The following is a 15,340-nucleotide window of genomic DNA, read 5'->3' as shown; positions in this document are numbered from 1 at the left end:
AAATTATATGTGTAAACAGTTTTATTTTTTTTTTCAAACCACTAATATTTGATTCTTTTGCCTGTGTTTACTCTTACATGGTATTTTTATATTAGTGCTTTGGCAAAGTTAAGTGAAAAAAAGCAAGCCTTTAATGCCTATAAAGTCCAGACAGAAAAAGAAGAAAAAGAAGAAGCAAGATCAAAGTACAAAGAGGCTAAGGAATCCTTTCAGCGTTTTCTTGAAAATCATGAGAAAATGACTTCTACAACCAGATACAAGTAAGATGTTTAGTGTTACATGGCCTATGTTTACTACATTGTTGTTTGTGTCATACTTTTCTGCCATGTGCAGTAGCTGATCCAGAGCTCATTAAATAAAACTAGATGATTATGAATGTGGAAACTTGATGAGGTACAAAATAAATCTGTAGTTAAATGTAGAATTTAACTTGTTGACTTAATAAGTTTTTGAGAGACTGGAAGAAGGGGAGAAAGACTGTATTCAATAATCAAGTTGGAGGCCAGACGTGGTGGCTCACACCTATAATCCCTACCGTTTGGGAGGCCAAGGCAAGCAGATGGCTTGAGCCCAGGAGTTCAAGACCAGCCTTGGCAACATGGCAAAACCCTGTCTCTAGGGGAAAAAAAAAAAATACAAAAATTAGCCGAGCATGGTGGCACGTGCCTGTAGTCCCACCTCCTTGGGAGGCTGAGGTGGAAAGATCACTTGAGCCTGGGAATGTCAAGGCTGCAGTGAGCCATAATTGCACCACTGCACTCCAGGGTGACAGCGAGACCCTGTCTCAAAAAAAAAAAAAAAAAGAAAAAGAAAATTTGATTGCCTTTTACTTAAAAACATTGAAATTATTGATATTTGTGGAGTAAAAAGAGGCTATTTTCATTAAGTAGGCATAGCATTTTGAATAATTGTTTTATGTAGCATTCTTCATTTTAGATTGCTTTATTATGTAAAATTGTGGGTAATATTAAAATATTTTTGATATGTTATGAAGCCTATTTTCTGTATGTATTTCTTTGATCTCCTCAGTATTCCAGAGAAGTCTGTAATTTAGTTCTGTAGGCAGTTTGGTAGTCTGTGTAGCTGCCTTTAGATATAGAGATAGTCTAGACTATAAGCAGTGCCTAATGTGAATTATCCCCTCTATCTCTAAGGAGAGAGGGAGGCATGTGTTTTTTGTTTGTTTGTTTTGTTTTGTTTTGTTTTTTCATAATTATCCAGGAGTTTGTCTTTAATATATTTATGAACTTTGAATAGGAAGTATTCATTTTGTAGTTTTAAATTTAGTTTAAAAATTGGTTAAAATTAATTTTTATTGTATAATTTTTTTTTAACAGAAAAGCAGAGCAAATGTTTGGAGAGATGGAAGTTTGGAATGCAATATCAGAACGTGATCGTCTTGAAATCTATGAAGATGTTTTGTTCTTTCTTTCAAAAAAAGAAAAGGTATTCTTTATTCTTAGTTATTGGTATTTATAGATAACACAAGATGTTTCCTCATTCGGATGAGGATTGGTTTTATAATATGTACATTTTTCTGGCTTAGTTTATCCAGTTTATGTGGTATAGCAGATTTATTTATTGGAAGTAAAATTTAATGATGGAATGTATAGCTTCTGTAATAATCTTCTTTATCGTTCATGTAGCATATTAAGTACTGATGTAGACTCAGTGGGTACTCATTCAATTATTTGTATTGTCATTAGTTGGCTATCTTATGCTCACTTTGAAAAGATACCTTTTTTGCTCATTAGGTTTAAAAATGCTGGGTTTTTTTGCTTATAACCAGCATGATTGTTACAAGAATGACAGCAACATGCAGTTGTTTCTACTAAACTTACAACATTTTAAAATACCTATTTTACTCATGTCTCTTTTTCATTGTGCACTATTATATTTTATGTTATCTGGTTTCCAAGGAACACATACAGATGCAAGTATTATCAAATTTAAACATAGCTGAAGGTCATTGAAGATTTTAGCATTTACCTGCAATGCGACTTGTCCATAGTAACCTTAGTTTCAGACTGTCTGTAATACATAGTGGTAGAAAGGTTTATGTCGTATGGGGGAAAAGCCAAAAACATGGTTTCCAGATTCTGGCTTTTAGAAGGAGGTGGAAAATTTGAAGCTAAGTACCAAAGCCAAGCGCTTAGGAAAGAGCATTAGCAAAGTCAGCAGTGTGGCCATTTAAAGTAAATGAAATTTACTTGAAGTTTGACTTAACCTTTGCAATTTGGTCATCCGTTAGAATATAAAGAAGCCGTCACTAATTGCAATTTAAATATCTTAATTTCTTGGAACTTTGAAACATACATATTCATACTTTTGCTATAGGAACAAGCAAAGCAGTTGCGAAAGAGAAATTGGGAAGCCTTAAAAAACATACTTGACAACATGGCTAATGTAACATACTCTACCACTTGGTCTGAAGCCCAGCAGTATCTGATGGATAATCCAACTTTTGCAGAAGATGAGGAGTTACAAAGTAAGAATAATGGCTAAGTAAGAGAAATAGTTTTAAACAGCGTCCTCCAGCAGCAAAGAATTATTTTCACTTTTTATATGAGATAACTAATTGAATTTTATGCAGTTGTTTATTTCTGAAAAAGAGTTTTATTTATTTCCAAATAGGATATTTCTTTCTGATTGAGTTTGTGATTCATGACAAAATATTTTTTCAAATTTAAAGTAGCTTTATCAGGTAATCCTTGAAATATTTAAATTATAGGTCACATTTGAAATTCTGCTTAGCCGTTTGTATGTAACTTGGTAAGAACTAAATGAATTACCGCATTTTACTCAGGTTGTTTTCTTGAGGTAATAACATTATAGATTTTGTAAAAAGAAAAAAATGTATTAGAATTATCTTAACATTAGGCTTCCCTAAGTACTCTTTCTGAGTTAACCAATTGCTTTTTAAATTATAGCTTTATCAGCTACCCCTCTAAAAATCATGCTTCAGTAGATTTTTTTATAGGGTGTACAGTTCTATACTTTGAAAAGCTCCTGGAATAATTATGATATTGCAAACAGATTTTATCATAACACTTTTCATTAGTTTTGCCATATGCACGTCCTTTGTTTTATCCTATGACATGTTTCAGAATGTCTTTTATTGAGTTCTTTGTGAAATTTTCCTTAAAACTTTCCTATGCAGATGATCACAAATCATATTTGAGTTTAAATACAAGTTTGTTTGTTTGTTTGTTTGTTTAGAGACGGGGTCTTGCTGTGTTGCCCAGGCTAGTCTTGAACTCCTGGGCTCAAGCAATCCTCCCACCTCAGCCTTCCAAAGTGTTGAGATTACAGGCATGAGCCACCACACCCTAGCCTAACTACAAGTATTTTTGACAGGTGATTTTGAAATTTTGGGGGAGCTAATGCAAGTAAACTACTTTACTTGTTGACATTTGACACTCTAAATTTTAACTGGCAAATACTTTAGATATGGACAAAGAAGATGCATTAATTTGCTTTGAAGAACACATTCGGGCTTTAGAAAAGGAGGAAGAAGAAGAAAAACAGAAGAGTTTGCTGAGAGAAAGGAGACGACAGCGAAAAAATAGGGAATCTTTCCAGGTAAAAGAAAAAGCTCTCTTTTTAACTTAGTTTTATATTATATTTACTGAACTTTGACAGTGATACAAAGAGTTTTGAGACAACTGTTCCCAGATCATAGACTTAGGCTTTGTGAGGACTCATACACATTTAACTCTTTAAGTTCTTCAGATGAACATTGGTAAATGAGGTTTCGGTTGGGAAAAACAACAGGAGAGATGACTGGAAACAAGATATGTGTGGTGAGTCAGTAGTAGATGATATTTAGTCTCTGGAGGACAAAGGGACTGCTAAGGTATAGTTTGGGGATGGGCCATAATTTCTTAAACACTAAGAAAAGGACCTGGGATTGCATGTTTTTTAGGTAGTAGTTCGTTTTCATCTTCAAGTATCATTTTTATTTTCAGTGATAGAAAATATCATGGAGCAATGAATTTTTTGCATTTCATATCTCACCTATTTCAATAATTATAATAGCTAATATTCTTTGATTGCTTACTGTCAATACAATTTACATTTGTAATCTCAATTTTTATGACAGTCTTACCTTATAAGGGTACTTACTGTTTTTGTTATATAAGTTTATATAACTAAGGAAATGGAGAGGTGAAGTGACTTGCCCAAGTTCAACAGCTGCTGAATAGTGAAGCCAGAATTTGAATCCATGCAGTTTTGATTACAGGGTCTCTTCCATTAACCATTGTATTAGGATAAATGCTAGGTTACAATGGCTTAAATAAGTTTTTTTCTTGAAGTAACAGTCTTTTTGGTCTAGGGCAGGGCATATTGCCATCCCTTAAGGCAGTGGTTCTCAAAATTCAGTGTATCAGAATGAAGTGGAGGATTTTTAAAAAATTTCTTCTGGCCGGGCACGGTGGCTCATGCCCATAATCCCAGCACTTTGAGAGGCTGAGGCTGGCAACTGCTTGAGTCCAGAAGTTCAAGACCAGCCTGGGTAACACGATGAAACCCGGTCCCTACTAAAAATACAAAATAATAATAATAATAATTAGCCGGGTGTGGTGGTGCATGCCTGTAGTCCCAGCTACTCAGGAGGCTGAGGTGGGAGAACCTGAGCCCAGGAGGTCAAGGCTGCAGTGAGCTGCGATGGTGCCACTGCACTCTAGACTGTGCAAAAGAGCGAGATCCTGTCTCCAAAAAAAAAAATTATTCGCGCTATGCCAAAGGTTACTGTGTTAAACGTCACAGCCAGTAGAAAGATTTCAGTCCTTATTCAATGAAAACTTAACATTTACTACTCTTGATAGGTTCCTTTATCTTAGTGACTTTCTAGACTTGATCATGTTCTACAACGGTTAAAAACACAAATTGTTTAGCCTTACCTGAAGAATTTGAATTAGTAAGTCTGGGGTGGAGTCTGAAAATTTCATTTCTAAATTTCCAGGTGATATTGATACTGTTGGACCATAGTTTGAGAACCAGTGCGCTAGCATGTTAACCTTCTCTGCAGAGTTAGGGGTATGCTGCCCCCATTTCACATTTTAACTTGGAAAAAGTAGAAAGAACAGTTCTTCTTAAAGCTAATGATGTAGAAGTTCTGCTCACCTCCTTCATTTGGGTTCAGTTGCTGAGAATTTAGTCACAGGGCCACAACTAGCTACACAAAGGAGGCTAGAAAACTTAGCTTTTAGCTAAGCAGCCATGTGCCCAGAAAGAAGGGGAGGACAGATTCTTAGGAGGGCTATTATACACTCTTCCACAACTTAAGCTTTAATGTCTCTGATGAAGGTTTTGCAGTGGTTTAAAATAAGGAGACATATATGAAAAAATAATAATACAGTGAAAATAAGGTCTGGGTCATAGAAAATACGAGACTATAATGTAAACAATATTGAAGATGGAGACTGTGAGGCAAAATTTTGATGTGAAGGCTGTTACGGTTCCTTAAATAAGCTTAAATGTGGCTTTGAATCAGATTGCTATGTGTCTGGCATAGTTTCTGATTACTACTAATATAATTGGTGTTAAGTATGTTGTATTAATATTCTTTCAGATATTCAGCCTGGTAATTTTCCTGTTGTGCTATTTCAAAAGATTTATTTAGGACTTTAGTGAAATGAATTAAAAGAGAAGATTGGCATTAGACAATAAAAGATCATTAATGGAGAGCTTCTCAGTAGTTATGATTATGATGATGACTAGCTTTTTATTTAGTGTTCATTTGCTAATCAGAAAATTCATCATGTCTGTGACAAGGAAACTATGATCTTGTTTTTCTTATGTCTTAAAACTGGTATTTGAAGTCAGTTTTGTCTGGAAAGGATTGATCTGAGGCTTTCAAGGAGAACCAGAGGAATGTATAGTGTCTCAGAAGCCAAGAGTTTGGAATTTTAAGATAGAGCATGATCCCCAAATGCACAGAATCAGTATCACCTGGGAAATTATGAAAATGCATATTCTCAAACTCCACGTCAGACTTACAGAATCAGATTCTGGAAATGGGACCTAACAATATGATTTTTTTAAACAGTCCTTCAAATGAGTCTTTGAGAAACCCCTGAGGTAAAGGAATCCACCTAAAGTAACATGTTAAGAAATTTTTATGGAATGAGGACTGAAAGAATACTGTTAAGGGTGGCATTTAAGGTGTTAAGAGTGGCATTTAAGGTGTTTAGTGACCATTGGCATGGTAGGGAAAGTTAAAGGTCTGCCAAATAGTTGAAAGATATTCAATAAGGTAAAATTCAAATAAGCTTGCAGTTAAGAGAAAGGCTTTTCTTGGGTAAGAGGAAACCAGTTAAGAGGGAGAGAATGAAGGAAGAATTGAAAAATAAGGGTGAGTCTCATTAAACAACATCTCGGAAAGTTGGGAATTCAAGCATATATATGAATACAGTTACATTGAGAACAGTATATAAGAGAACAAAAAGAAGGATGAAGATGGAGAAAAATTAATACCGATTTGGATCTAAGACAGTGGTGCTCAACCAAGAAAGATTTTGTGATTGTCACTATTTGTGGGGAACATGCTACTGGCATCTAGTGTGTAGAGGCGAGAGATGCTGATAAACATCCTGCAATGTACAGGGCTCAAACATACCCCGCCCTCAACCAAGAGAAAGAAAGAAAAAAAAATTACGTCATCCAAGATGTCATTAGTGCCACGGGAAGAAGAAACATCAAGCTCAGCCATCTTTGAAGCAACTTGCTTTCCATAATGTAAAAGGCAAGGCTTTTTCACCCCTAAAATGGGGCAAGTAAAATAGAATAAGAACCATACAGTTTTGTCAGAGTGGTTTTCAAACCTGAATTCACATCAGTCATCTAATATTCCAAATATCTGGATATTAATTCATATTGCTTTAAAAAAATATTCCTCAGGTGATTCTTTCAGGTTAGGGATCCACTATTGAAATAATTTCAGTCTCACAGTTCTTTGACTTTATCAGACAGATCTCACCAGTCTGGAAGTGTAAGAAACACTAGCAAAACAGGTATGATAGAGTGAGGTAAGTTCTAAGGTACTAGAGCATCACTAAAGATGGTTTCCAAACTATTTTAGATACTCAGGGAGCAAGTGAGGAAGCTGGTGAGCACAACAAGAGTGGTTAAGACAAAATTCCATTTATGTTGAAGGGTAAGGGTAGTTGACAGAAGGGTAGATACAGGCAGGGTTTGAGAAAAGAATTTCCGAGTTGTAAGGGAGTATGGACATATTTAGTCTTGTTTGAAGAGGAGTGAGTGCAGTTGTAAGTGCCTGATGTTACTTTGGGACAGCTCTATCCAATAAAAATGTGAATGCCACAAATGCGATTTTAATTTCCTATTTATTTTAGTAATTTAACCCAATATAACCAGATATTATTTTAACACATCAATATTTTTAAAAATTGCTAATATTTGTGGTATTAAATCTTCAAGATCATTGTGTATTTTGTACTTAACAGCACATCACAACTCAGACTAGCTACATTTCATGTACCGAGAAGCTACGTTTGGTCAGTGGCTACCTTATTGAACAGTGCAGGTATAGGAATTGTGGGAACAGAATATAGGGTTACAGTTTCTTTTAGGCACATTTGTGTATAGCAGCGGTCCCCAACCTTTTTGGCACCAGGGACCGGTTTAGTGGAAGACAGTTTTTCTTGGTGGGGTGGGGTGGGGAGTTGGTATCATCAGGCATTAGATTCTCATAAGGACCACACAACCTAGATTCCTGGCATGCTCAGTTCACAATACGGTTTGCAGTCCTATGAGAATCTGATGCCGCCACTGATCTGACAGGAGGTGGAGCTGGGGCGGTAATGCTTGTTCCACCACTCACTTCTTGCTGTGTGGCTTGGTTCCGGTTCCGTGGCTGGGGGTTGGGATCCCCTGGTGTATAGGATTAAACTCCCTGAGGATTGGGTTGGAAGCAGGAAGTGTGGAAATTGAAACTAGATATGGGTTTGAATCCTAGGTCTCCAAACTACTTTGGGAAAATTATACATCCTCCTCTTAAGGCCCCTTGTTTTTTAAAAGTAAATAAAAATACCTAGAACACATTAGGCACTATTTTTAAAGACAGAAAGTATATATTTAAGGAAACATGCATATACATTCTTTAGCCTCATCATTTGAGGTAGATATCCAGTAATTTAAGTTAACTTTTACCTTTTTTTTTTTAAAGCTAAAAATTAGGTTCTATCTTAAAGGGTAGGAAATAGAACCTTAGGAAGATAATGTGCAGTTTCAAAAGTTATTTTCTCTAAAGGACAAAATATTTTTTTGCCTAGAGGCAGTTGTTACTTTGCCCAAATAGCAAATATTCTTTGTGCCCAAACAGGTTTGGGATAACATTGGTAGAAGAGTTTTAACTATGTCAAAGTTTTTGTGTGTTTTCATGTTAGACGCTTATTTCTCATGTACTCGAGATGACTTTCCAAATATAATTTTTCTCCCTAGATATTTTTAGATGAATTACATGAACATGGACAACTGCATTCTATGTCATCTTGGATGGAATTGTATCCAACTATTAGTTCTGATATTAGATTCACTAATATGCTTGGTCAGCCTGGTAAGATTATTTTCTTTCCTAATTTACCGTTATGGTAGTAGTTGAAATGGGCCAAATGCAAAGGTGATTGTGTTGGGGGAAAGGGTGCTTTATTTTTGTTTTTTAAACAACAAAGTAATTGCAGCTCTTTGGTTAGAGCTAGCTTTTGACTTCTTTAGTTTTTTCATTAGGATCAACTGCACTTGATCTTTTCAAGTTTTATGTTGAGGATCTTAAAGCACGTTATCATGACGAGAAGAAGATAATAAAAGACATTCTAAAGGTAAATATATTTATTCTTACCTTTTAACCAATAGTATATCTTAAAAGTTAGTACTGTATTCCTTTGATTTATGCATTATTAATGTTAAGATTTCTTTTTTTTAGGATAAAGGATTTGTAGTTGAAGTAAACACTACTTTTGAAGATTTTGTGGCGATAATCAGTTCAACTAAAAGATCAACTACATTAGATGCTGGAAATATCAAATTGGCTTTCAATAGTGTAAGTTATGTTTTCTGTTGTAAGTAACTAGTTTAGTAGTATAGTTTTTAATTTATTCAGATAAAAGCAGCTAAGTTGCAGAGTGTTGGAATAAGGGAATATGAATAGAATTTTACAGAGTGGTAGCCAGTCTTTCAGGTAAGGTAAAACAAAAAACTTTATTTAGATGATGGATTGATATTAAACTTCCTTTGCTCAAATTAACTGGTATTATACATAAAATGGCCATTATAAATCAGGCCTTGGGCCACACATAAAGTACACTAACGATAGCTGATGAGCTTAAAAAAAAAATTGCAAAAAATCCTTATAGTGTTTTAAGAAAGTTTACAAATTTGTGTTGGGCCACATTCAAAGCGGTCCTGGGCCACAGGTTGGACAAGCTCGTTTTAAACAATGCGTGATTCCTAAATTAACAATAAATTATTTCAGCTAATAGTTATGATACTATTATAACTGATTAAATATGATTTTCTTAATAGTTACTAGAAAAGGCAGAAGCCCGTGAACGTGAAAGAGAAAAAGAAGAGGCTCGGAAGATGAAACGAAAAGAATCTGCATTTAAGAGTATGTTAAAACAAGCTGCTCCTCCGATAGAATTGGATGCTGTCTGGGAAGATGTATGTATACTTGTTATTTTTTTCTAATGGAATTCTTTTCTTTACAGTTGAGAAATTTAAAATATTTTTATTTTTCATTTTATAGCCACAAAAATAAGCTAAATTTATTTGTAGAATATATTAAATATATTTAGAATATAATAAAAGCATTAAATCAGCTGTTGACTCTGTTTAGGAATATTTGTAAAGAATGGTTTGGACTTTTGAAGGGAGGAAATAATGGACTTTAAGGGGACTGATTCATCACAGTTTTCACTTGCTGTTATGATTTATTTTAGATGTATCGTTGTACTTTTCTTGGTATTCATATATTTATTTTGTATCTGAATTTTTCAGATCCGTGAGAGATTTGTAAAAGAGCCAGCATTTGAGGACATAACTCTAGAATCTGAAAGAAAACGAATATTTAAAGATTTTATGCATGTGCTTGAGGTAATTTTAGAATTCTCATATACAAAATATATAAAATATAAACAAATTGAAGAACTTAGAATGATGAAAGTATGTTGCTTAATATTCACTGCTTTTATACAAATGTACTTACCTGGATGGTTAGAGAATGGTTTTTTTCCTATAAAAACTGCTTTTAAGTAAAAGAAACTATTAAGTTTCCATGGGAATATAAAGATTTGTATGTGAAGACTGTTTTGTATTTTTAGAAAGTTTTAGAAATTGAGCAGTTTGGCAGCCACATGGATTGATTGACTAATAAAGAAAACTTGAAATTTTTCTTGTAAAGCAGATAGAAGACAGCTTTTAGGCACATTTGAGGTATTATACCACATTAGCTGTGTAGAAAAGAAAGTTTCTGGAAAGTAATGGAATAAATGGTAAGTTTTTGTTAAAATAAGCAATGAAACAATAACATCTCAGGTCACTTTAATAGGTAAGGTTCACTGGGCACGGTGGCTCACGCCTGTAAAACAAGCACTTTGGGAGGCCAAGGTGTGTGCTGATCACCTGAGGTCAGGAGTTTGAAACCAGCCTGGCCAACATGGCGAAATCCTGTCTCTACTAAAAATACAAAAAAATTATCAGGGAGTGGTGGCGGGCACCTGTAATCCCAGCCACTCAGGAGGCTGAGGCAAGAGAATTGCTTGAACCCAGGAGGCGGAGGTTGCAGTGAGCCAAGATCATGCCACTGCACTCCAGCCTGGGCAACAGAGCGGGACTCCTTCCCCAAAAAAAAAAAAAAAAAAAAAGTATTTTGATGACAGTTTCAGTTAGGCCCTTGTAAGTATGCTGAATTGACCAATAATTATTGAATAATAGTATTCGATGCCTATGTGGGCCAGTGTTCTAATTGCTTTATGTATATTATATTTATGAACTGAATCCTTTCAATAAGCCTGTGAAGTTAATAGGTGAACAAACTAAGGCAGAGAGAAGTAAAGTGACTTACAGGGTTGGAAGCCGGGCATGTTGACCTTGGTCAGTGCTTTTAACAAGTATGCCATGCTGTCAGTTTTAGAGTAGCTAATACTTTATAAGCTAAAAACTAGTAGGTGCTTAATATTACAGTGTTGCATTGTAAATGGGCATAGGTCACTAAATTGACTATTTCCTATTTCTTGATTTATTGTTCTTGATTAATATAATGTTAACCACAGTTTTTTCTGTACCATGTACTCACGAAGGCCCTGTATTGTTTCACAGCTGCCTCTAGATGTGGTCCTGTTGGCCTTTTTTTTTTTTTTTTTAAAGCGGGGTCTCTGTCATCCATCCACTCCTAGGCCAGAGTGCAGCGGTGCAGTTATGGGTCACTGCAACCTTGAACTGTTGGATTCAAACAATCCTCCTAAGTAGCTGGAACTGCAGGCACGTGCCATCACACTTGGCTTTTTGTGGGGCTTTTTTGGTTTTTGTTTTTATAAAGATGGGATCTTGCTGTGTTGGGCAAGCTGACCTCAAGCAAGTCTCCTGCCTTGGCCTCCTGAAGTACTGTGATTATAGGTGTGAGCAACCATGCTGGGCCTCTAGATCTTTTCTGTGCCAAATGTAGTGCATACCAGAAGCATCTGCATTACCTAGGAGCTTCTTAGGAATGCAGAACCTTAGGCCCCATGGGGCAGAAATCCTGCGTCTGACTTCATTTTAACCAGATTCCCAAGCATTAAAATATACATTTAATTTTGAGAAGCTCTGCTCTAGATAGTGACTAACCTATTTTCCCCCAGTTCAAGAGTCTACAGATTCTTTCATGATCTATACTGGGGGTAAAGTAGTTAGGTGGTAAATGGAGTAAAAATGGTACCATAGGGAAGGGCTGAACACATTCAGATTTTGGGGCCTTAATAATCTGAGGCTTGAGGTATTAAAGAAAGGTAGGTTAGCATTCAGTGAGATCAAAAGGAGAATAGTCCATTCTGAGATCCAGATTTTCCATTTCCACTTCTGTAACTGAGGTAGAATTTATTCTCAAAGCCATAGAAATGTTTAGGGGCAAGGAGCTTGTACTGTAGCACCCCCCATCACTGCTAACCTAGTAATTGTTTTAATAAGTAGAAATCCACAAAGACAGCATATGGATGTCTAACAATGTCTTGTTTGAGGAGGAAGGAAATGGCTCCTTGGGGGAAATGAAAGAGGGGTAGCAGATTTTGCATTTATTCTGACATCAGCCTTATATATCTCAATTCAAGGATGGCTCTCAGGTTGTTCTTTATCTTAGTGCTTGGCCTAACTTGCTGACCAAAGCCAGATTGATTACAAAAACCATGTCTGAGTGTCATTGTATTTGACTGTCATTAAAAGCAGATGTCACTGCATATTACACTTTTCTTCTAAATCACACCATTCTCTTCCTTAAAAAATACTTTTTCAGGCTGGGCACAGTGGCTCACGCCTGTAATCCCAGCATTTGGGAGGCCGAGGTGGGCGGATCACAAGGTCAGGAGATCGAGACCATCCTGGCTAACATGGTGAAACCCCATCTCTACTAAAAATACAAAAAATTAGCCGGGCATGGTGGCAGGCGCCTGTAGTCCCAGCTACTCGGGAGGCTGAGGCAGGAGAATGGCGTGAACCCGGGAGGCGGAGCTTGCAGTGAGCTTAGATCACGCCACTGCACTCCAGCCTGGGTGACAGAGTGAGACTCCATCTCAAAAAAACAAACAAACAAAAACTTTTTCAGCTGGGTGCAGTGGCTCATGGCTGTAATCCCAGCACTTTGAGAGGCCAAGGCGGGTGGATCACCTGAGGTCAGGAGTTTGAGACCAGGCTGGCCAACACGGTGAAACCCTGCCTCTACCAAAAATGCAAAAATTAGCTGGGCGTGGTGGTGTGCACCTGTAATCCCAGCTACTTGGGAGGCTGAGGCAGGAGAATTGCTTGAACCTGGGAAGCGGAGGTTGCATTGAGCCAAAATCGCACCACTGCACTCCAACCAGGGTGACAGAGCGAGACTTCGTCTCAAAAAAAAACAAAAACAAAAAAAGCCCTACTTTTTCTACTAACAGTTTTTAACATTGTTTTGTTTAGATGTCTAAATGAGTGGGTATAGGATGGGCAAGAAGGAAAAGAAAAAAAAATTGACAATTCTTCACAGTTTCAAGGGATTACATTTCTATATATTGTAGAGTTTTACTCTAAGAACTTACTTCCGTAGCTTTTTAAAGATTCTTTACAGTCTGTCTACAGTAAGTGTAAATTCTTGAAATTTTTTTTTTGTCCCCGTAGCATGAATGTCAGCATCATCATTCAAAGAACAAGAAACATTCTAAGAAATCTAAAAAACATCATAGGAAACGTTCCCGCTCTCGATCGGTAAGGGAATTTATTATATGGTGTCATGAGTGTATTAAAGTGTTAGCATTATTATGAATGAAATTATTTGTGTTTTTTAGGGGTCAGATTCAGATGATGATGATAGCCATTCAAAGAAAAAAAGACAGCGATCAGAGTCTCGTTCTGCTTCAGAACATTCTTCTAGTGCAGAGTCTGGTGAGCATTTCTATTTATTTGATTAAATCATTGACACTGATATACTCAAAGTCTGACACTTTTTATCCTTTTGTGCTACTCAGAGAGAAGTTATAAAAAGTCAAAAAAGCATAAGAAGAAAAGTAAGAAGAGGAGACATAAATCTGTAAGCAAGCTTCTAATTTTTACGTTTCACCTAGGCTTTTGCCCTTAACTTCCTCAGAGATCATAGAACCTTTTTCTATCTAGTTCTCTGCAGCCCAGGACAGTTCAGGTGGGCACATAAACTTAGAGTTTTGTTGTTGCTCTTCACCTTAATCTTCCATTAAAATCAATTGTTGAGCTTTGAAAAAATACACACACCAGTGTTAGGATCCCCATCCTGGTCTTTAAAATTAATATTCTAGAAAGAGACTCGTGTGTGTGCATGTGTCTCTGTGTATGTATGTATGTTTGTGTGTATGTGTAGATTGCAGCTGTTGTTGAGAACCACAAGTTTAAATGTTAAAACAACCACTCTACTCTTGCAGTTCTTATTCTTAGGTGTACATTAAGATCCACCTAAGGAACTTTTTGAAAATCTGAAGGCCTGGGTATCACCACAGACCTGTTGAATTACATTCTTTTTATTTGAATTTGTGCATATCTAATGAATAACCATTTAAGCACTAACGTTAAATTTTAAATAATTCCTACTCAGCAATTTCAAGAAAATAATTTTATTAATACAGCTGTCTGCCTTATGTGTTAAAGCTAACAGCAGTATACTATGTACATATATAAACCAATATTATATTGAGTTGGTGAGAAATGTAGTATCTGTCTGTATTTACATAATAGATACTACACATCTATTATGTGGTAGTAAGTCTCATGAGTGGTATTTTATCCTTCAGAATATTATCCTTCCCAAGGGAAAGCTGTCCCCATGAATCTTGGGTAAATTTTACTAAATCCTTGAGGTTAACAATTCACATTTTATTTCATCTCTCTAAGAGCACATAACCTGTTACACATAGATGTTCTTAAATATTACCTATATAACAATGGTATCTTCATCAAAATGCTAACCTGTTATTTTCTATTCATACAGGACTCTCCAGAATCCGATGCTGAGCGAGAGAAGGATAAAAAAGAAAAAGATCGGGAAAGTGAAAAAGACAGAACTAGACAAAGATCAGAATCAAAACACAAATCGCCTAAGAAAAAGACTGGAAAGGATTCTGTAAGTATTTAGAATTGTTTCATGCCTGTATTTTCAAAATGCAAAAATGTATTCTGTGGTTAAACCATGATGGTGTTGAAAGAATAGGCTTTTTTCCAGGTGTGCTACCATTGAAGAAAACAGTGAAAATTCAGTTAAGTACATTTCACACAATATCATAGTTTTTGGTCATGCATGATCCTAGATTTTATTCTCCTAAATTTGATATTTTTTAAATATAGCATTTCATAACTATAGCCTTATTAACTCACTAAGAAAGGATATGGTCACTAAGAAGTGCCACTGGACATTTTTTACCTAATTTTCAAATTTTTTTTTTAAGTGAGAGACTAAATCTGGGATTCTACAGATGTCTACAGTTGTCACTGTTATTAAATCCTTTGTTTCAAAAGGTAGCAATTCCAGTAACTTTTAGAAATACTGATTTGGGGTGGAGGAAGGGCAAATAAATAGGAGAGGAGAATATAAGCCAAAGTTAGTATTTCAATAACAGATTACATAATTAGTCCT

General features: G+C 35.8%; 1 protein-coding gene across 28 annotated transcripts in view, besides 1 other annotated feature; it reads left to right on the top strand.

The window, feature by feature from the left end:
- PRPF40A (pre-mRNA processing factor 40A) overlaps positions 1-15,340 on the top strand; it is a 66,288-nt gene that overhangs the window by 45,301 nt on the left and 5,647 nt on the right. For 16 of the 28 annotated variants that reach the window (NM_001395477.1, NM_001395479.1, NM_001395473.1 and 13 more), the window contains 13 exons: positions 96-260; positions 1,338-1,446; positions 2,338-2,488; positions 3,449-3,582; positions 8,467-8,581; positions 8,752-8,843; positions 8,948-9,064; positions 9,547-9,684; positions 10,021-10,116; positions 13,363-13,449; positions 13,530-13,626; positions 13,710-13,771; positions 14,699-14,830. In NM_001395477.1, the coding sequence (NP_001382406.1) occupies positions 96-260; positions 1,338-1,446; positions 2,338-2,488; positions 3,449-3,582; positions 8,467-8,581; positions 8,752-8,843; positions 8,948-9,064; positions 9,547-9,684; positions 10,021-10,116; positions 13,363-13,449; positions 13,530-13,626; positions 13,710-13,771; positions 14,699-14,830 (1,495 nt within the window). Of the gene's footprint in view, positions 1-95; positions 261-1,337; positions 1,447-2,337; positions 2,489-3,448; positions 3,583-8,466; positions 8,582-8,739; positions 8,844-8,947; positions 9,065-9,546; positions 9,685-10,020; positions 10,117-13,362; positions 13,450-13,529; positions 13,627-13,709; positions 13,772-14,698; positions 14,831-15,340 lie in introns of all 28 variants that reach the window. The other 12 variants (NM_001395475.1, NM_001395476.1, NM_001395472.1 and 9 more) reach the window with 1 other exon arrangement.
- Positions 8,900-10,099: an enhancer, noted in NCBI's record as "CDK7 strongly-dependent group 2 enhancer chr2:153519134-153520333 (GRCh37/hg19 assembly coordinates)". NCBI's record gives its function as "activates an origin of replication core promoter dependent on BRD2, BRD4, P300/CBP, MED14 and CDK7 cofactors, with strong dependence on CDK7, by STARR-seq in HCT116 cells {active_cell/tissue: HCT116}" and the evidence as "EXISTENCE:reporter gene assay evidence [ECO:0000049][PMID:35650434]".

The sequence above is a fragment of the Homo sapiens genome, chromosome 2 (assembly GCF_000001405.40).
Source record: "Homo sapiens chromosome 2, GRCh38.p14 Primary Assembly".
NCBI lineage: Eukaryota > Metazoa > Chordata > Mammalia > Primates > Hominidae > Homo > Homo sapiens.
Note: the sequence above shows the minus strand (reverse complement) of the source record. Positions and strands in the feature narration are given on the sequence as shown.